This window comes from Homo sapiens, chromosome 7 (assembly GCF_000001405.40).
Source record: "Homo sapiens chromosome 7, GRCh38.p14 Primary Assembly".
Classification (NCBI taxonomy): Eukaryota; Metazoa; Chordata; class Mammalia; order Primates; family Hominidae; genus Homo; species Homo sapiens.
The window spans coordinates 38,946,569-38,968,047 of record NC_000007.14 but is presented as its reverse complement, the minus strand read 5'-3'; the positions used below and the strand labels follow the sequence as shown (position 1 = coordinate 38,968,047).

Sequence of the window (21,479 nt, the reverse complement as noted above, 5' to 3'; positions counted from 1 at the left end):
CGTGAGCCACTATGCCCAGCCTATATCTCTTGTTTCTTATAAAGTAATATTAAAAATCCCCACTTCATTTAGTTTTTTATGCTTTAAATATTGAAGAGACTAAGTTCACTCCGTGTTCTGACTTTTGCTGATGGTTTTCTCTTAGTACGATTTAACTTGTTTCTCTGTCTCCTGTATTTCTGTAGACTGGAAGTTAGCTCTAGAGGCTTGCTTAAATTTCATCTCAAGTAATGCCTTACTTTCCCACTGCATTACTTTAGGAAGCACGTGAAGCCTGGTGTTCTCACTTACAGAGGTAAGAAAGTTCGGGGTTCAGGCGCTGACAACCTGTTTCTTCATTGCAAACATTTCCCTTGACATTTCATCTAATAGTTTTACAGCCCATTGATGACCACTGTCTGAAGTGATTTTTTTTTATAAGTTACAAAATGGTGACTTTTCATAATTCCTTCTGAATTTATTAGCGATTTTTGTACAGGAAAACCCACTCACTAAGGATATTTGTTCCTGTGAAACACAGTTTGTGCTTGCAAAGGCAGAATAAATGCTCAGTTCTTTTCCTTTCATTATCAATTTTCACAGTAATGAGTTTGTGCCCTAGCAACCTCCAATATTGTAACAATGAGTTATGTCTTATTTCTTTTTTATTCTTTTTTTAATATCACTAATAACTCATAGATTTTTATATTTTCAGTGAGTTTTAAACAATTGCAATCATTATTCTCATTGATGCTCAGATTGTCACATCTTTTGCCATGGAAGCCCATCAAGCTGGCTTGTGTACTTTGACATGATCCCATTAGCCTCTGATAGCTTCCTTGCTCTTTGTGCCAACAAGATGTTCCAGAATCTTTCTGTTCATTTCCTACACCAGTCCTAGGTTCTTTTTAGAGAAAAATGGTATTTAGAACCACTGATAATATGTCATTTCAGTGGTCAAAGCCAGAAAAAATAATTTTAAGGAAGGAAAAACCACAAGTTCACACTGATATTTCCAATTCAAAATGTAAGAGTACAGATTTTCCTTGACTTCTTTATTTTGTACTTCCATCTCTGGTATCTCTTTTCTCCTATGATTAATATTTAATTTCAAGATAAAATTAATATGATTATTTGCTTGTTTTAACTTAGAATTACAAATCTAATCGTTCATAAAATGAAACATCATTCTTGGTTTTACTTATTTATCAGTCAAAAACAAGATAAAAATCATTGTGATAAGTTTCATTTGTTGGAAGGCTACATTTTCCATCTTTGAGTATTTCTTGTTCCATTTATTTAAAATATGTATTATTTGAAACTTCTTTCTGTGCTATACATATTTAACATCTATTATATAATCATTCTTTCTTTCTTTCTTTTTTATTTTTTTTCGAGACAGAGTCTCACTCTGTCTCCCAGGCTGGAGTGCAATGGCACCATCTCGGCTCACTGCAACTTCCACCTCCCAGGTTGAAGCGATTCTCCTGCCTCAGCCTCCTGAGTAGTTGGGATTACAGGTGCACACCACCACACATGTCTAATTTTTGTATTTTCAGTAGAGACAGGGGTTTCACCATATTGGTCAGGCTGGTCTCAAACTCCTGACCTCGTAATCTGCCTGCTTCTGCCTCCCAAAGTGCTGGGATTACAGGCGTGATATGCCGCGCCTGGCCATGTAATCTTTTAAATCTATGAATCCTTTTCCTCTATATGCTTTTCTGCATATTTGGTCCAGCCCACAATTTATGGAGCTGTGTTTCAGGACAGAGCCCTTTCCTATTGTGAAGGTTGTTATTTATGTAAACACAAATGATCTTACAGGGTTTGAGGATAAACAAGGTGCTTTTGTGCCTAACAGATACGTTTAGGTGTCAGAATCTGAAAAACTTGGGGGTAACTGTGCAGTTGCTTTTGCCAATGGGAGAAGCACCAGTCCCAGCAAATGTGTGGGTCTTTCATTGAATAGGTAATTCTGACAGCTGGTTTCCACTTCAAACTCCATAGAAAAGTATGATCACATGGAATATAACATTATTTGACAATACATATTAAAGGCAAACCTGGTCTGATTTGAAAGGCGAATGTTTGGGAAACATATTTTTTTTTTAAAGAAAAGCCAACAAAGTAAGCACTCAAGTTAATACAAAAACACGGGGGATGGGATTTTAGGAATCTGTAATGAAGAGAGGCTGGGATTTTAATGCCCAGCACAGACAGGAATGGAGGCTTCCAGGTCCTCGTAGATATAAATTGGAATCAAGTCCCTTTATACTGCTCATATCCTCAATTGATTGGAACCCAAACCTACTCCTAGTATATGTTTTAAGTATGAATTTACTTTTTTGTTTGTTTACATTGCAATTACACTGTATGATGAAAATTGATCCAAGTTCATGATTTACTGGGGCATCTGACAGAAGCAAATGCAAACTATTGCAATTTTTGCCCTATGGAATTCTCAGAGCTTATAATTAAAAAAAATATGATAAAATAATTTGCCAATGAGAATAGTCATCAGAAACAATAAACAGGATCTTCACATTTTTAGATTTTAAAAAGATTGTAAAAGGAGTATGATAATAATGATAATTAAACAAATGAAAAATGGTACTAAACCTTAAAGAAAGAAGAAAGCCAGTGAAAAAGAACAATGTCAAAGAATCAAATAGATCCTTTAGTAATAAAAAATATAACCAAAATAAAAACTCAATGTATCACTAAATAGCAAGGTTTATGCAAAGAAAGTGAAGTGCAGAGAGGTGGATGAACTGAAAGATAAGCCTCAGACTCTTTAACCAGAATAGCTCAAGGAGACAGAGGGGTGAAAATTACATAAAGAGTTTAAGAAAGATGGAGTATAGCAAAAGACGTCTAACATATGTCCAATACATGAGAAGCCTTGCTGAAAGGGCTACTAAAGGGTGTACTTCAGGAAAAAGAAAGTTGAACCCAGACTGAAGGATACAAGAACCAATATAAGTAAAACAAAAGAAAACAATTTTTAAAAACCTAAACTGAAACAATATTAACAAATATGTCTATAAATCTAAATAAGCAGGGGCTGGAGGAGGGAGAAAGTAAGATATCATTAATGAGGTATAAAACTAAGGTGGAATTAATTACTAAATAACAACAATTTGTAAAATGAGAGGGATGGAGATTGGGGTTAAAATATTTAAAGGTCTTTTATTACTCAGAAGGAAGGTTTAAATATTAATAATCTCCAGAAATCTAGTATGCATGTTACATTTTTATGGGTAATCACTAATAAATAGTATAACTTCTTGAGTCAATAGAGAGATAAAAGGAAATAAAGTATAATTTAATAGAAGGCAAGAAAGGAAAAAAAATGAAAGGAGTGCATTGTAAGTATAAAGCAGAAAGTTTGACAGTAGAAATAAACATATATTGGAAAATTTAAAACAAATCAAATAACGTATGAATGAATCAAAGATAAAATTATTTTGGAAATTATAAAATGTTTGAAAATTAACAGTGAGATCATTAACCATGAGAAAAATCAATGTGTGAAATGCAACTAATATAAATTGCTTAGAGGTCAACGTTTATAACCTTAAATATTATGGTAAGCAACTTCTAAAATGATTTCCCAGAATTCCACCTCCTTATATTCGGGTCCTTGCATAATCTCTTCCACTTGAGTGTGAGCTGGACCTGATTGCCTCTTTGTAATTAATAGAATATGGTGCACATAATGAGATGTCACCGAGGCCAAGGTATAAAAGATGTTGACTTCCACCCTGCATGTACCCTCTCGAACTCTTCTTCCTTGCCCACTCTGTTGAAGCTGTCAGGAGGTGAGCTGCCCAATGTAGAGGCCCCTGTGGTAAGGAATTGAGCACAGCCTCCAACAAAGACCCAGCAAGAAGCTGAGGCCCTCAGTCCAACAACCCATGAAGAACCGAAATCTCCCAATTACCATATGAGTGAGTGTAGAAGTGGATCCTTCCCCTGTCAAGACTTGAGATGCCTGCAACCCTGGCTGGCACAGATTGCAGGTTTTTAGAGCCACAAAACTTGAGAAACCAGCTAAACTGAGCCCAGATTCCTGACAATCAGAAACTGGGAGGTTACCAAATGTCGTTTTCAGCCATAAATTCTGGGGTGATTTGTTATCTAAGAATAGATAACTAACACAAATGCATTTATAGGAAATAACAAAATAATTAAAAATTATAAGCTAAATATCCAACTGATGAAGTTATAAACAACAACAACAACAAAAAAAAAGAAAATGAAAGAAGAGAGTAAACCAAAAGAAAGTAAAAGGAAGGAAATAATAAAGATAATGACAGACATAAGGGAGAAACAAAATCAAATAACTTGGTTTGAGTGTTTTTAAGTTTTTATTTGAAATAATTTCAGACTCACAGAAAGGTTGCAAAAATATCACAGTTTCCCTACATCCTTCACCTGCTTCACCTAATGTTAACATCTTACATAACCATAGTATAATTATTGCAACCACAAAACTAACTTTTTATCTCATTTATTATTTTTTTAGATTTAGAGACAGGGTCTCATTCTGTCCTCCAGGCTGAAAGTACAGTGGTGTGATCATAGCTCACTGCAGCCTGGAATTTCTGGGTTCAAGCAATCCTCCCCCATCAGCCTCCTGAGTTGCTGGGACTACAGGCATGCACTACCATGCCCAGCTGATTTTTAAAAATCATTTTTTTAGAGACAGTTGCACTATGTTGCTCAGGCTGATCTCAAACTCACCTCAAAGCAATCCTCCCACCTCAGCCTCCCAAGTAGCTGGAATTACAGGTACAGGCCACCATGTCTGTCTTCAAAATTAACATGGATACAATACTATTACCTATAGGCATTATTGGAACTTTGCCAATTGTCTCATTCTTGTTTTTATTTCTAGCCCCAGAATTCCACATCTGATTTAACTGTTATGTTTCCTTGGCATTCTCCAACCTGAAACATTTGTCATTCTTTGTCTTTCATAAACCTGACAATTATGAAAAGTACTGATTTGTTATATTGTAGAATGTCTCTCAATTTGAATTTATTTAACATTTCTTATATCTCAGTTTAGTTATATATTTTTGGCAAAAATTCCACAAACAAAATATGCTTTTCTCAGGGGATCATAATGGCAAGTACATTATGTCAACACATTTCATTACTGGTGATGTTAATTTTAATTACTCAGTTAAAATGATAATTGCCAGGTTTCTCTAATGTAAAATTACTATTTTTATCTTGTAATTAAAAAATATCTTGTGGGAGAGACTCTAAGACTATTCAAGTATTCTATTGTTATACTTTTATCCATTGATTTTAGCATTAGTTAATTCTTGCCTTTAATTTATGACTGTGGTGCTTGCCAAATAGTAATTTTCTCTTCTATCATTCTTTTAATATTATATATAATATAATCACTATTTTATATATAATATTATATAATATAATCACTATTATATATAATTAGTTATAATTATTCTCTAAGGAAGAGATGTCCCTCTCCTGGCATATAAGAGCTGCTTAGTTGTCTTGACAAAACTAATAAAATAGACAATATTGGGCAATAATGATAATGTAAAAAATGAGAAAGCACAAATAATATCGGGGATAAAAATGTGAAGAGTGTCAGAGATGCAAGAATCATAACACTTTATAACACCTTATGCCTGTGAATTTGAAAACAACTTTAAAATGCTGTTGTATAAAAATATAAACAAAATATATTTATTATATATTATTATATATAATATGTTATATTTTATATATTATATTATTAAAAATATAAACAAAATATATTTAATTTGATGACATCAAATTAAATATATTAAATTAAATATATTAAAATTTATATTATATTATATATTACATATATTAAAATAAATATATTAAATTAAATAGTGTGATATATTAGGGTATGGAAGGATTGGACAGTAATGGGTGTGGTTTGAGCCGTATTTAAAGTGTTCAATTTATTTTGGTGCAAAATACATTAGAAGCAAAAAATGTAATGAATTTTATTTTTCTTTTCAATTTTTCAAAGGTCTAATGGTTCCATTTTCATGTCTTGCTTTTCTGTCATATTCTTTGATATTTTTGTTCCATGGAATTTATATCTTTTGAAATTCCTTAAGTTACTAGTACTGCCTAAAATTATTTTTCAAAAAATATTCTTAATCTATGTTTTGCAGCCTCTTTTCTAATTTCTTTTTTTAAAATTTTTCTTTTTTTAACTTTCATTTTAGGTTCAAGGATACATGTGCAGGCTTGTTATACAGGTAAATTCAGTTCACAGGGGTTTGTTGTACAGATTATCACATCACCTAGGTACTAAGGCTAGTACCTAATAGTGATGTTTTTTTGATCCTCTCCCTCATCCCACCATCCACCCTCCAGTAAGCCCCAGTGTCTGTTGTTACCCTCTTTGTGTGTATGTGTTCTAAGTGAAAAAATGAAGTATTTGATTTTATGTTCCTGCATTAGTTTACTAAGGATAATGGCCTCCAGCTCCATCCATGTTTCTGCAAAGGATGTGATCTTGTTCTTTTTACTGGCTGCATAGTACTTCATGGTGTATATGTACCACATTTTCTTTATCAAGTCTACCACTGATGCTGCATAGTATTTCATGGTATATATGTATCACATTTTCTTTATCAAGTCTATCACTGATGGGCATTTAGGTTGATCCCATGTGTTTGCTATTGTGAATAGTTCTGCAACAAACATGTGAGCATGTGTCTTTACAGTAGAAAGACTTATAATCCTTTGGATGTACACCCAGTAATGGGATTGCTGGGTTAAATGGTAGTCCTGTTTCTAGCGCTTTAAGGAATCACCACTCTGCTTTCCACAATGATTGCAGTAATTTGCATTCCCACCAGCATGGGAATGCTTATACATAAGCATTCCCTTTCCTCTGCAACCTCTCCAGCATCGTTATTTTTTCACTTTTTAATAATAACCATTCTGACTGGTGTGAGATGTTATTTCACTGTGGTTTTGATTTGCATTTCTCTAATGATCAGTGATATTGAGCTTTTTTAATATGCTTGTTGGTCACATGTATGTCTTCTTTAGAAAAGTGTCTGTTCATGTCCTTTGCCTACTTCTTAATGGGGTTATTTTTTGTAAATTTAAGTTTTTTATAGATGCTGATATTAGACCTTTGTCAGATGCATAGTTTGCAAAAATTTTCCCCCATTTTGTAGGTTGCCTGTATACTCTGTTGATAGTTTCTTTTGCTGTGCGGAAGCACTTTAGTTTAATTGGAATTCATTTCTCAATTTTTGCTTTGGTTGCTATTGCTTTTGGCGTCTTCATCTTGAAATCTCTGCAGTTCCTATATCCAGAATGGTATTGCCTAGGTTGTCTTCCAGGGATTTTATAGTTTGGGGGCTTACATTTAGGTCTTTTATCTATCTTGAGTTGATTTTTGTATATGACATAAGGAATGGGTCCAGCTTCAATCTTCTGCATATAGTTAGCCAGTTATCCCAGCAGCATTTATTGAATAGGGAGTCCTTTTCCGATTGCTTCTTTTTGTCAGCTTTGTTGAAGATCAGATGGTTGTAATGTGTGGCCTTATTTCTGGGTTCTCTATTCTGTTCCATTGGTCTATGTGTCTTTTTGTACCAGTATCATGCTATTCTAGTTACTGTACCCCTTTAGTACAGTTTGAAGTCGGGTAACATGATGCCTCTAGCTTTGTTCTTTTTGCTTAGGATTGCCTTGGTTATTCAGGCTCTTTTTTGGTTCCATATGAATTTTAAAATAGTTTTTTTTTCTAGTTCTGTGAAGAATGTCATTGGTAGTTTGATAGGCATAGCACAGAATCTGTAAATTTCTTTGGGCAGTATGGCCATTTTAACAATAATGATTCTTCCTATCCATGAGCATGGAATGTTTTTTCATTTGTTTTTGCCATCTCTGATTTCTTTGACCAGTGTTTTGTTATTCTAATTATAGAAATCTTTCACCTTGATTAGCTGTATTCCTAGGTATTTTATTCTTTTTGTGGCAACTGTAATGGGATTGCATTCCTGATTTGGCTGTCAGCTAGGCTGTTTTTGGTGTCTAGGAATGCTAGTGATTTTTGTATGTTTATTTTTGTATCCTGAAACTTTGCTGAAGTTGTTTATCAGCCAAAGGAGCTTTTGGGCCAAGACTGTGGGGTTTTTAAAATATAGGTTCATGTCATCTACAAACAGGGATAGTTTGACTTCCTCTTTACCTATTTGGATGCTCTTAATTTCTTTCTCTTGCCTGATTGCTCTGGCCAGGATTTCCAATACTATGTTGAATAGAAGTGGTGAGAGTGGGCATTCTTGTCTTGTGCTGGCTTTCAAGGGAAATGCTTCCAGCTTTTGTCCATTCAGTATAATGTTGGCTGTGGGTTTGTTATAGACGGCTTTTATTATTTTGAAGTATATTCATTCAACACCTAGTTTTTTGAGAGTGATTATCATGAAGTCATGTTGAACTTTATCAAAAGCCTATTCTGCATCTACTAAAAAAATAACATGATTTTTGTCTTTAATTCTGCTTATGTGATGAATCGCATTTATTTATTTGCATGTGTCAAACTAACCTTGCATCCCAGGGATAAAATCTACTTGGTCATAGTGGATTAGCTTTGTGGACTGCTGCTGGATTCAGTTTGCAAGTATTTTGTTTAGGAATTTTGCATCAGTGTTCATCAAGGATATTGGCCTGAAGTTTTCTTTTTTTTTTATTGTGTGTCTGCCAGATTTTGTTATCAGGATGATGCTGGCCTTGTTAAATGATTGGGGAGGAGCTCCAGCTCTAGTGGTTTTTTGTATCTCAATCTCCTTTAGTTCCACTCTGATTTTGGTTATTTCTTGTCTTCTGCTACCTTTGGGGTTGGTTTGCTCTTGGTTCTCTAGTTTTTAAAATTGTGATGTTAGGTTGCTAATTTCTGATCTTTCTGATTTTTTTGATGGTGTGTTTAGTGCTATAAATTTCCCTTTTAACACTGCATTGCTTGTAAACCGATTGAATCTTTTCCTTTAAAAATGAGTGGTGTGGGCCAGGTGCGGTGGCTCATGCATGTAATCCCAGCACTTTGGGAGGCTGAGATGGGCGGATTACCTGAGGTCTGGAGTTCGAGACCAAACTGACCAACATGGTGAAATACCCCATCTCTACTCTAAAAATACAAAAAAAAAAAAATTAGCTGGGCATGGTGGCGGGCGCCTATAATCCCAGCTTCTCAGGAGGCCGAGACAGGAGAATCTCTTGAACCCAGGATGCAGAGGTTGCAGTGAGCCAAGATTGCAGCATTGCACTACAGGCTGGGTGACACAGTGAGTCTCCATCTCAAAAAAAAAAAAAAAAAAAAGTAGTATGGGGGCTGGATATTGGTGTTTGAGTTTAATCACTTACCTGTTTGTGGCTATATGGGGAAAGAATTGGGACTTAAAACAGCCACAGCTCAAATCCCCCTAGGTGGAATTTTTGATCTACTGCATTTTAGCCTTTTCTTTAATGTGTTGTTTTCTTTGCTGAGGAGATTATATCCAGTATCTATAAAACCGATTGTGGCCTTTCTGTTTCCTTTTTCTCCAGCTCTTCAGTCTGCCACCATTCTCTTGGGAAGTTCATCAAGTAATTGAAAATAAAAATAGCGTGTGGCTTCTAGGTCTTTTCCCACAGTTGGGTAGATGATGGGCTCTAAGCTGGATGTTTCCTTTTCCTCCCCAGCTAATTTTTCCAAGCATATGGTTATGTGCTTAATCTTTTATCTTAGGTCAGTTTTATATCTAAATTTTTTTATAAGCCTAATACATTTTGATTCTTATCAATTTGCTTTCTTTTCTTCTCAAGGATACTTGTAACTTCTTTCCTTAATTTTTCATACATGATTTCTTTCTCATTTTTCCATCTCTTTATTAGTAATTTTGAGATATTTGGAAGTATTTTAAATTCAGATTGGCATCAGATTTTTATTCAAAATGAAAAAAGATATTAGAGTAATGCCTGCAGCATCTCTGCATTCAGTCAATATGGTGTTTTTCTCTGGGAACAACAGAGAGATATTCTCAGACATGTAAAGTGTCTGGATATATTTCATTACTATATTCGTGATAAAAAAAAAAATGACCCAAAGAAATGTTCTACAACTCACTGAAAGTAACCAAGATAGGAAATTCAAGCATTGGCACCAAGAGCTGCGAAAGAAGAAGTAGAGATCAATGGAACCTCTTAAATATGGGAGCTGTCTAAATAGACATGGTGCATGATTTAAACAGTCATATTTTACCAACAAGCACCAGACGTCCTCCTAAAGTAGAAACTACTTTTGTTTAGAACAATGCTTTGATAAGCGGTTTCAGATGGAAAGTAAAGACAATTATAAAACATATCTTTTTTGACAATTTACTCAGTGTTTTATTTTGCTTTTGTTTTTATTTTGAGACGGAGTCGTACTCTGTCGCCCAGGCTGCTGGAGTGCAGTGGTGTGATCTCGGCTCACTGCAGCCTCTGCCTCCCAGGTTCAAGTGATTCTCCTGCCTCATCCTCCTGAGTAGCTGGGACTACAGGCACATGCCACCACAACTGGCTAATAATTTTTTTTTTTTTTTTTTTTTTTTGAGACAGAGTCTTGCTCTGTCGCTCAGGCTGGAGTGCAGTGGCGCGATCTCGGCTCACTGCCAGCTCAGCCTCCTGGGTTCATGCCATTCTCCTGCCTCAGCCTCTCGAGTAGCTGGGACTACAGGTGCCCACCACCACGCTTGGCTACTTTTTTATATTTTTAGTAGAGATGGGGTTTCACTGTGTTAGCCAGGATGGTCTCGATCTCCTGACCTTGTGATCTGCCCGCCTTGGCCTCCCAAAGTGTTGGGATTACAGGCGTGAGTCACTGTGCCTGGCCACTAATTTTTGTATTTTTAGTAAAGATGGGGTTTCGCCATGTTGTTCAGGCTGATCTCGAACTCCTGACCTTGTGATCTGCCCTCCCCAGACTCTCAAAGTGCTGGGATTACAGGCATGAGCCTTTATGCCTGGCCTACTCAGTTTCTCTACTTCTGTTTTCTCACTTGTGAAATGGGGTCAATAGTACCTACCTCATAGGTTGTGAAAACCCTAAGTGAACACATAGCTAGTACTTGATGATGATTAGCAATTGTTATTTATCAGTGAGTAGAAATTTAAGTATGAAGACTGGAGCAGAGCAGTAGGAGGGAAGGGAAGGGAAGAAGAAAGGCTGAGCCCCTCATTGAGAAGTTGGAGCTGAGCTGGTAGAACTGAAGCTTCACAAGAACATGTATTTAAGCGCATGCTTTCAGTTCTCCACTATGACACTGAAATGGACCCAACACTACCTCCCACCTCCCCACCACCACCTTTCAGTTTTACACTCCCAAGACTTCGGGAAACATGACACCTACTCCTCCCTCAGTGAGTGGCACTTTGAAGGCTGGGTGAATTAAGGAGAAGCAGTCTTTTGTATGTTTGGGAAACACTGGGACAGAAATGTAAAATGAATTTTGAAAATTCAGCAGAAGACATAACTCAACCATGGGTATTTGGATGAATGCACACTGCAGAAGATTTTTTAAAATCTTGGTAAAACTGTAGAGTTTCTATAGATTAGAGGAGATTCTGACAAAATCTTAAAGGACAATGATAACCCAGTTGACATCTGGTATTGCAGCTTGTTAATATAGATGACAAAAGTAATTACTTACGAGATAAGAAATAAGCATAATATGGATTTTAAAGTTTTGGTTATTTTAACAAAAACAACAGACTTAGAAGAAGTAAAAACATATTACACGTATCATCCTACACAGTATATAGGTGCTATTTCATGCTTCACATTAATAGAGAAATACAAGTTTAATCCTGCAAGACAACGCATCAGACTGAGGATTGCTTGAGCCCAGGAGTTTGAGACCAGCCTAGGCAACATAGCAAGAGCCCCATCTCTACAATAAATAAATAAATTAATAAATTAAATAAATAAATAAATAAAATTAACTGGGTGTGGCAGCACATGCTTGTAGTCCCACTACTTGGGAGGCTGAGTTGGGAGGATCACTTGAGCCTGGGGGGTTGAGGATGCAGTGAGGCATGATTGTACCACTGCACTCCAGCCTGGGTGACGAAGCGAGACCCTCTCTCTTTCTCTCTCACACACGCATACACACACACACAAAGACATCAGACTGGTCCACTATCTTAATGACATCTTTTTGAAAAGATTTGGGTTGGTGAAAGGATCAGGAACCCTAGATGACTCAGTGACACACAGGCATGCTGGCACATGTGGGTAAATCTCAGGAAGTACATGATCTTAGAGGTGACCGGAAGTTTTTGAGTGTTCAATATTCTGGGGTATGTCAAGATGTTTCCTTCAAAGTAAAGAACAAACTGCTGCCACTTTCATCCCCTATTCATAAAAAGAGCCAAAATACTTGATGGGCATCTTTAGGTATTAGATATGTGCTACCCTAACTCATTAACTAGATGATCTGAAAAGTTGCTTACTTGGAATAGACCACCTAACGAGAAGACTCTGTGGCTGTTCCATGGGGCAGGGTGCATAGATACTCCAAGTGGGTGCTTTTCTGAGGAACCTAACCGATGCAGTCATTATAATAAAACCCTGTGTTTGGCTAAACCAGAAATCAGGGTTTGTAACTATTCTAGGATGGTAAGAGAAAATGCAAGCGATATAGCAGGAGAAAAATCTAAGAGTTTGAAATCTGTTGCTTCTGGGGAGCAGGACAGGAAGGAAGAGCTATTTCTCATTACTATTGACTTTTTAACTATACACTCATATTTTTGTGATACAGATTTTTAAATAATTTGAAAATTGATCATTTTTGTTAGTAAATTAATCAGCCAAAACATCTTATTCTTAAAAATAATTTTATCTTTTTAAAAATCTAAATGTTCAATAGGAAAGTTTGACATGGGAGATTTAAATCTCTTTTTTCCTTTAATGTACAACATTTACTCAGGCTTTCATTTTTCTAATGATGACATTACTGAAACATACTTCTGGATAATACATGCTTCCTAACCATTTCTGTTCCTCCAGCAGAATCAAGGAAATAATGTGTTCACTAAGTTAAAACTCTGATTCTATCAAAGAAAACATGCCCGTCCTCCATTGAACTCTATGTGGTATGCTTAATGTGGATAGGAGTTGCAATGTTGCTATTTGAAAGAATTATGAAACATTGTTTAGAACTTAATAAGATAAAAACTAAAATTTTGTACTTTATTACATATTAATTATATATTTAGATATTTAATATTACATATTTTGCACTTTACATGTTTCAATACTAAAGATTTAGACACATCTTATGTTACATATTTTGTACTTTATTACCTATTTGGATATTCTTGTAAAGGAGTATTCATTCACAAAAGCTAATGGTTTGGTGAGTTTCTTAAAACCGAAATCTGTCCTTTGGATAGCACAATCTGTAATCAATATTGGCATCATTGTTACTCCTAGTCAGCTGAGTGATGGGCAGCTAATGACTGATTTTCCAATAACACCAACCTCAAATTCCCCTTTAGACAGAGTTTTGGCTAGGGTTCAGAAACGTCCTGACTTCTTGCGCTGTTTTTGCTTTAATGCAGTGGAGAGCTTTGAAATACCTTCAGAACTTTAAGGCAACACTGTTTTTGGTCTGGTGAATTTTCTACATCTTGATTATTTGACTTCTCGGGTAAGTTTTAATATGTTGTGACCTCTCAGGTAAGGCATTAGTTATTCAAAACAAATATGTTTTTTGAGAAAGAACAGGAGACTTCCCTTGGAGTTGGGAAACAAAAAAAAGAACAAAAATTTCTCAATCTGCAGAGTCACCCCGACTAGCACCCTGCTTAAGTTGTGCACTGTCCAACTCCAGAGAGCGTTAGTTGCAAAAACTGTAAGAATGGAGCTCCAGAAGTGTGTATCACAGTGGCCCTGGAATCTCCAACAAAGACAATGGACTCCCAGATCGCAAGGTGTATCCTGCTATTCAGCATATAAAGGTATTTCAGCACTTAAAATAAACATATTAGAATTCTAATCCCCTTTTCAGGCTCACTTTAAAAAATGTATTATCTCCTGAAAAGCACAACCAAGGGAATAGAAATCATCAGAATCCTGTCACTAATATTTCTGTTAGAATCACATTAATTTTCAAATAATTGACACCTTTATTACATTTTCAGTCACTAAGATCCACACATAATTCACTTTTCTTTTTTTTTTTAAGTTTCCTTTAAATGTTGTAATTTTCTTGTTTTAACTTCCTCACAACTTTTGTTAAGTTTATTGCTGGTTAGCTTTTGTTTTTGGTTCTTGTTATGACCAGGATCTTTTTTGAGATATGTAAATCTTTAGCTTTTGGATATATTACACTCTTCTGAACTCTCCAAAACTCATGCTGTTTACCCGTTCTTAACTTTATCCCTTGACTCTCTACTTCTGAACCCTGAATATCTACTGCTTTCTCAGTACCTAGAGGGAACCCATATATCAAAATAAAACCTTTGATATTTTATTATTTCTTGTGTTTCAACCAGAGCAAATGATTAACATTGTGTTTGAAGTTGCTGATGCTATTCTGAAAAATTCTGATCCAAGACTTGTCTTGCTACTTTACTCAATTATTGATATTAAAGGCACAGTTCATGACACATGGCAAATCATTAACATTTTCCTCCAAATGAGACATCCAACTTGTTAAAGAACCCTGAAACCAATTTCTCACTGGATTTTCAGTTTGAATAATGTAATTGCATTCAACTTGAGTTCCTTTAAGTATATCCTGCTATGAGTACTTCCAATGCGCCTTCCTCTATGGGCACAATTATGTCTCAGTGAACAGCAGGCTGAAACTACATCAAAGAGAAGGACTATTTTAACAGTTCAACACAGTGAATTGGATGTCAAGAAATCTTAGTTTTGCAACAGCTAACCGGGACAATAGCATTTGTCTATAACTATGTATAAGTATCTGAAGGTTAATATTTCTTATATTTGCAATTTCAAAAATCCTTTTAGCCTTAATGTTGGGCATGGTAAAAAAGTAAATTAAGAAGCAGGAGAATCGGCAGGGCATGGTGGCTCATGCCTGTAATCCCAACACTTTGGGAGGCCAAGGCAGGTGGATCACCTGAGGTCAGGAGTTCAAGACCAGCCTGACCAACCTGGTGAAACCCCATCTGTACTAAAAATACATGAGGCCGAGGTGGGCGGATCATGAGGCCAGGAGATCGAGACCATCCTGGCTAACACGGTGAAACCCCCTCTCTACTAGAAATACAACAAATTAGCCAGGCATGGTGGCGGGTGCCTGTGGTCCCAGCTACTCCGGAGGCTGAGGCAGGAGAATGGCATGAACCCAGGCGGCGGAGCTTGCAGTGAGCCGAGATCACGCCATTGCACACCAGCCTGGGTGATAGAGCAAGACTCTGTCTCAAAAAAAAAAAAAAAAAAAAGAGAGAGAAAAACAAACAAAAATGAGCTGGGCGTGGTGGTGTGCTCCTGTAATCCTAGCTACTCGGGAGGCTGAGGCAGGAGAATCACTTGAACCTGGGAGGCGGATGTTGCAGTGAGCCGAGATCACGCCATTGCACTCCAGCTTGGGCGACAAGAGCAAATCTCCATCTCAAACAAAACAAAACAAAACAAAACAAAACAAAACAAACAAACAAAAAAAGAAGCAGGAGAATCCTCTAAAATTAAATTTAAAGGAAATCTTTGAGGCCACCCAGCCCCATTCCTCCAAAAGAGAGAATGTGATGCACAGATGCCTTTTTAAATATGAGAGCAAGTCAATACTGTAGACAGAAGCCAGCCCGCAGATATCAACTAGAACTTAGCTACCTAACACTTGGTCCTGTAACTTTACTAACTACTGTTGCTTCGTGAAATGTACTTTAAACCGATAGTCCAGAGCATAGGAGGTTAAATGCCATAGAGGTGTATTTTTCCTACCAAGCTCATCCATGATTAAGGGCAAAGGGAAATGTTCTCATCTGGTACTCCTCTACTATTTGAGAATTAAAAAGCCACTTTGGACTGTCTGCCAGTGACTTCTCCACATGGTGTAGCTCCTGGAAAGTTTACTTGACACACATTTGAATCTTGGTATGATTACCTGAAGGTAATAAAAGTTAAATTTTAAAAAGTAAATCACAATTTGTCACATCTCTGTATTAGTTTGCTAGGATTGCCATAACAAAGTACCACAGGCTAGGTAGAGACATTTATTTTTCATAGTTCTGAAGGCTGGAAATCCAAGATCAAAATGTGGGCAGGTTTAGTTTCTTCTCAGAGCCTGCATGTGGCCGTCTTCTGTGTCTCCATATAGTCTTCCCTTCTGTGTCTGCACCCTCATTTCCTTTTCTTATAAGGATACCAGTCATATTGGATTAAGGCCCAGTCATTATTGCATTTTATTTTAATGAACTCTTTAAAGGCACTATCTCCAAACAGGCGTATTCTGAGATACCAGGGATTAGGGCTTTGGCATGAATTTTGCGGGGGACACAATTCAGTCCACAACAGTTCACTACTCAAAAACTTTCCCTGACTAGTTTTGAAAACTCTTCCCTTGTAGCTCTCCCTCTTGCTCACTAATCTCCAGTTGAATAGGCTTCCGCTCAATTACTAAAATGTGCAAGACCTTTTCTGCAAGAGCTTTGTAAACACTACGCCCTCTTCCTGGAACGCTGTCTCCTCAGCTTTGCCTGACTAATTCCTTACTGTTCTTGGGGTCTCAGCTTAAATATTTCTTCTCCAAAAGGTAGGATATCAAATTAGGCATAAAATTCGATGATAGAAATATATCCATATATGTAAATAACTGTAATTACTGCAAAACAGACTAAATGATCCAGGAAAGTAGACAATATTTTCAGATTAGCTAAAAAGATCAAATTCCAGCTCTGTGTTATGTATAAGAAACATAAGTTTGAAAATAAAAACACAGACAAACATAACCTATGCAAATTATAAACAAAAGAAAACTGAGGTGTCTCCATTAATTATCAGACTAGGCAGTTTAAACACAAAGAAGAAAAAACAATCGTTATGAGTGATAAATTCTATATCAAAATTGTGACCTTCCATTTCTCAAACTTCACCAATAAGAAAGTAAAATGACAAGCCACAAAATGGGAACATATATTTTCAGAACTACAACTGGAAGAGAATTAAAATCTGTAATATATAAATAACTTTTTCAAATTAATGACAGTGAGAAAAACAGCCCACTAGAAAATGGGGATATCATTTCAACAAATAATTCACAAAAGAGAAAACTTACAAAAAGATACTTAATATCATTAGTAATCAAGGAAATGTATTTTAAATCACAGATGCCATTTCACATCTTTAGATTAGCAAAAAGGAAAAATGTTAACATTGTCAAGTCTTGCAAGGATGTAGGGTACCTAGAACTCTTCTAAAAAGCAGATGGGGGTATAAATTGATACAACTTTGGAAAACCCCTTGGCATGATTTATTCAAGTAGAAAGTAGATATACACTAAACATGACTCAGCATTTTACTCCTAGGTTTATAATCTGGACTGAGGGCCAATGAGCTGTGCCCTGAGGGCTCAATCTAGCCCAAGTCTTGTTATATTGCAATATATACATGTCCATTTGTTTATGTAGTGTCTACGGCTGCTTTCACAGTATACAGGCAGAGTCAAGTAGTTGCAACACAGACCATATGGCTCTCAAGCCAAAAATATTTACTATTTGGCCAGTAACAGAAAAAGGTTGCCAACCTTTGATCTAGAGAAATTCTTGCATTTGTCCACCAGAAGACATTTACAAAAATATTTATGGCAACACTATTTTTAACAAGAAACTGGAAGCAATCCAAATGTCCATCAATAGTAAATTGTTACACAGAATAAAAATATATGAGTTAACTAGAGTTTCACATAACAAAATGATGCATCTCAGGAGCATAATGTTGAACAATAGAAATGTCTCGGAAAAATTACAGTATGGTTCCATTTGCATAAAATTTATTATAGCATCTTATTATTTAGGTGCACAAACGTGGTAGTATTGTACATAGAAGGAAGACAATGATAAATTCAAAATTCAAGATAATGGCTAGCTCTGAGTGGGGATACAAAGGGAAGAGATTCTGAAAGGGTAGGGGCAGGTTTTTCAAGTTAAGGTAGGTAATGCTTTCCTCCTTAAACTTGGTGGTGGTTTCCAGGTGCTCATTATATTATTTTTCTTTATATCCTATTGTTATAAACAGAATTGTGTCCTCACAAAATTCGTATGTTGAAGCCCCAATCCCAGTGTCACTCTATTTGGAGATAAGACCTTTATGGAGGTAATTAAGGTTAAATGAAGTCATAAGCATGGGGCCCTAATCCTGTAGAACTGGTGTCCTTATAAGAAGATGAGGGGACATCAGAACATGTGTTTTTCTCTCTCTCTCTCTCTTTCTCTCTCTTCTCTCTCTCTCTCTCTCTCTGCCTCTGTCTTTCTCTCTCTGCACAGGCACAGAGGAAAAGCCAAGTTAGTACACAATGAGAAGTTGGCTGTCTACAAGCCAGAGAGAAAGTGCTTGCCAGAAATAGAATTTGCAGGAATCTTGATCATGGACCTTTATCCTCCGGAACTGAGAAAAATAAATGTCTGTTGTTTAAGCCATCTAGTCTGTGGTATTTGTGATGGTAGCCTGAGCAGACTAACATAAACATGAACATGTTTATAAATGTTTTATGCATTCAATATTTTTATTAAAATTGTGGGAGTAATAAGACCTCTTGAGGGGATATTTAAGCTGAGTTCTGAGGAATAAGTAAAGGTATTATATTGAGTACAGTATTTGTATCTCTCGAGTGATTGAATGTATCGGCATTAATTTTATCCTGTGTCAGTTTTGGTATTCTGTGTCTTTAAAGGACTTATTTAAATTATCCAATTTACTGACATGTTCATGCTATTTCCTTATGATCCTTTTAATGTCTATAGGATCTGTAGCCATGTCTCTATTTCATTCTTGATACTGATAATTTGTGTTTTCTTTTTTTTTTCTTTATGAGTCTATTTAGAAATGTATCGGGTTTTGATCCTTTCAAAGAACCAACTTTTGGTTTCACAGATTTTCTATTGTTTATTCATTTTCCATTTAATTAAAAATTCTATTATTATCATCTTTATTATTTCACATTTTCTGCTTATTTTGGATTTTACTTTTCTTTTGAAACTTCAATAAATGGAAATTTAGATCATTGATATTAACCTTCTTTCTTTTCCAATATAAACATTTAGAGATAAAAACTTTCTAAGGACTGCTTTTTGCACGTCTCACAAAATTTGATATGTTTTCAATTTCATACAAAATGTTTTCTAATTTCCCTTGCATTTCTTCCTTGACCCATTGATTATTTGGAGTATGTTACCTAACTCCGAAATATTTAAAGATTTTTCAGATATCTGGTTGTTTTTCTGTTCTAATTTGATTCTGTTGTGGTTAAAGAACATATCTTGTATGATGTCAGTCTTTTAATGTATTCAGACTTGTTTCATAGTCCAGCATATAGTCTACCTTGTTACACATTCCATGTACACTTGAAAGTAATATGCACAGTTGACCTTTGAATAATTCAGAGGTTAGGGACATAGATCCCTCACACAGTTGAAAATCTGTGTATAACTTTTGACTTTCCAAAAACTTAACTACTAATAGTCAACTGTTGACCAGAAGCCTTATCAATAAAATAGTCAGCTTACACATATTTTGTATGTTATGTGTATTATACACTGTATTCTTACAATAAAGCATGCTAGCGGAAAGAAAATGCTATTAAGACAATCATAAAGAAGAGAAAATGTATTTACTATTCATTAAGTGGAAGTGGATCATTGTAAAGGTCTTTATCCTCATTGACTTCATGTTGAGTAAGCTGAGGAGGAAGAAGAAGAGGAGGGATTGCTGTTTCAGAGGTGAAAGGGGAGACAGAAGAGGCAGGCACACTCAGTGTAACTCTTCTTGAAAAAAATCCGTGTATAAGTGGACCAAGTAGTTCAAACCCCTGTTGTTCAAGGGTCAATTGTATTCTTCAATTGTTGAGTGTAGTGTTCTTTAAATGTCAATTAGGTTAAGTTGGTTGATAGTATCATTCAAATCTTTTATATCTTTCCTAATTTTTTTGTCTACTTATGTTGGAGGCCGAAAGAGTGAGGGTCGTGACCGACTCAGTATACCACTGGAGGCTATATGAGCAAACAGCAAACTGTTCTCATGAACGCAGGTTGTTGGCAAACTGACAAACTGCCTCTGCCACCCAGAAGGAATGCTGAGGGCAGTCAACCCCCAGGGGCAGTGTTTCTTGTGATTATCTACAGGCACAATTGAAGCTTGTTAGCAATCATGTGAACCTGTGATCAATCAAGCAGCTGACCAATCCTTACCTCCTCCTCCCTGCTCTTTCTACCCAATAAATACAAAGGGCTGTAGAAGCTCAGGGCTGCCTTTGCTCACTAGAAACAAGGAGCCCCCAACCCCTTTTTTTTTTTTAAAACAAATCCTTTTTCCTTTGTTTTCATTTCTGCATTTGTCCCCCTTCACTCAGTCCTGTAGTAATGGTCACATACTTATGCTTTTATGAAAAGGTTATTAAATTACCATCAGTAATTGTGAATTTGTCAATGATGTAAGTTTTTTTCTTGTGCATTTTAAAGTTCCATTAAGTATACACACATCCACTATTGTTATATCAACACATATTTTTTCTCTAATTTTCTCCATACTTACTCATCATGGAATGATTAATTTTTAAAGAAATTGTATAAACAGTAATTTCTCAATGTAAAGAATTTTTTTTTAAATACAGAGCAAAATAGCAAAGCCTGTCTACCTTCATTCTCCTCCACTTATCCATCTCACGTCTAATGCTATTAACATTTTGATGAAAAAATCCAGGCTTAAAAAAGCTTTCTTAAGCTCCCACCTTCAAGCCATAGTTTTACCCCAGGGAAAGTTTGAGACTGAGCTGTGTATCTTGGTCTGATGTTCAAAGTGATCGTTTTCTATGCCCTCCAACATGAACCAGGTTGTAAAGGGGAGCTTTGTAGTAGTTAAAGCCAGAGAAAAGTAACTAGAGAATTCCTCAATCTTGTGGTGACTGGTTTTCAGAACACGCTTTAGCTGTTGGTGATGTGCACGCCCAGTGAAATATCCCGGCTGACCAAACTAACGCAGGAGCAGAAAACCAAACACCGCTTGTTCTTACTTATAAGTGGGAGCTGAACAATGAGAACACATGGACGCGGGGAGGGGAACAATACACACTGGGGCCTGTAGGGCAGTCGGGTCAGGGGAAGGAGAGCTTTAGGAAAAATAGCTAATTCGTGCTGGGCTTAACACCTAGGTGATGAGTTGATAGGTGGAGCAAACCACCGTGGCACACATTTACCTATGTAACAAACCTGCACATCCTACACACATACCCTGGAACTTAAAATAAAAATAAAAA

The 21,479-nt window shown here is 36.1% G+C and overlaps 1 annotated feature.

Moving 5' to 3' along the window:
• Nucleotides 16,603–17,802: an enhancer, noted in NCBI's record as "CDK7 strongly-dependent group 2 enhancer chr7:38989846-38991045 (GRCh37/hg19 assembly coordinates)". NCBI's record gives its function as "activates an origin of replication core promoter dependent on BRD2, BRD4, P300/CBP, MED14 and CDK7 cofactors, with strong dependence on CDK7, by STARR-seq in HCT116 cells {active_cell/tissue: HCT116}" and the evidence as "EXISTENCE:reporter gene assay evidence [ECO:0000049][PMID:35650434]".